This window comes from Homo sapiens, chromosome 5, assembly GCF_000001405.40.
Source record: "Homo sapiens chromosome 5, GRCh38.p14 Primary Assembly".
Lineage (NCBI taxonomy): Eukaryota > Metazoa > Chordata > Mammalia > Primates > Hominidae > Homo > Homo sapiens.
Window position 1 is genome coordinate 159,376,837 of NC_000005.10, and position 1,642 is coordinate 159,378,478.

The following is a 1,642-nucleotide window of genomic DNA, read 5'->3' on the forward strand; positions in this document are numbered from 1 at the left end:
TGCACCCAGGGAAGAGAAAATGATGCCTGCAACATGCTGGCTAACCAGAGGTCCTGAGTCTGTCCATGTCACAAATTCACTGCTAGCATAACTGGCATTTGAGAAATCCAGCATGCTAAACCTATTTACAACCAAGGAGTCTCATAGAGTCTACGTCACTCCCCTGCTGTCACTATCAGAGCAGATGCTGGGTATCCACTGCTGGGAGACCTGAAATATTCCTCAGCACCAGCCCAAAGCCTGGTAGTCCCACTGGTGGGCTAGACCCAGAAGAGCAATAATTACCACTGCAGTCCAGCTCTCAGGAAGCCCTAGTCCTGGCGGAAGTGGGAGAGCACCACATCAATGGATCACCCTATGGGACAAAATAATCCAAATGGTGGGCCTTTAGTCCCAGATCTTTCTACTGGTGGGAAGTTTCTTATAGCAGAGACACAGTTGCAGAGCTGGGCACAGTAGGGAAAATCTGTATGCCTATGTCAACCGGCAGGCAGCCTCTGTGATCATAAAGGGCCTTGGAGAAGGGGTCCTTGTTCCCCCGGCACACTACTGCAGACACAGCTGGGGCTTCTCCCATGGGAATGAAGCATGGATGCATCTGTAGGCAGCCTTCCTGGTACAATTTAGGGTGATTGTAGCCCCATAGGAGGAGCACTCCCTAGATTCAGGCCTGCATGAGAAGCAGAGTCACAATTCCTCCATAGTTGGAAGATTAACATTTCTACAATGAAAAGAGGTGCTTATATGATCTGAATAGCTGGAACACTGGGACAGGAGTGAGGCTGTGAGGTGAATAGCCTACCTGCTGGCCTGGCAGGGGAATTGAGGTATCTCCCACTCTTCATTTTGATAAAATCTCTGAACATCTAATTGAGAGCTTCCCTAGCCACATTCATCAAGGGTGGGACTTCTGCTCTCCAGTGGGTATTATATCTACAAACCTGCTTTAGCTACAACCAGTGCCTACCTAAGGATACCTCCCTTATTGGCCTGAAGCCTGAATCATCAACTCAGTAAATAAAATACTGGGAACAATTAAACAAATAAAGTGAATACTATGAGAGAATGAGATAAGCCTCAAGAGATTGCTACCATTCCAGCCCCATAGGACACAGTGAACTGGCCCACACTCCAAGTACCTAACTACTACAACCAGAGCACAAAGACTCTCTATGATAAAGGAACTCATACAGTGTTTTCCCCCTAAAAGCACCAGGAATCAAATTATGTTAAAATAAACTGTAAACATTAAAGTCAGAAAGTCTGATCCTTAAAAGGGGGAAAAACAGAAATAGAAAAAAACCCCACAGTCAAAACAAAAAAAATTAAGAATAATTTGAAGAAATAGTCTACCTAAATAAGAAGGAACCAGAAAAGTAATTCTTTGAATATGAAAAAACAGGGTTCTATAACACCCCCAAAAGATCATTCTAGTTCCCCAGAAATGGATCCAAACCAAGAAGAAATTTCTGAAATGCCAGATAAATAATCAGAAGGTTGATTATTAAGCTACTCAAGGATATACCAGAGAAAGGTGAAAACCAACTTAAAGAATTTTTAAAAATTCAGAATATGAATGAAAACTTTTTCAGAGAAATAGATATCATAAAGAAACAATCAGAACTTCTGGAAATGAAAGATA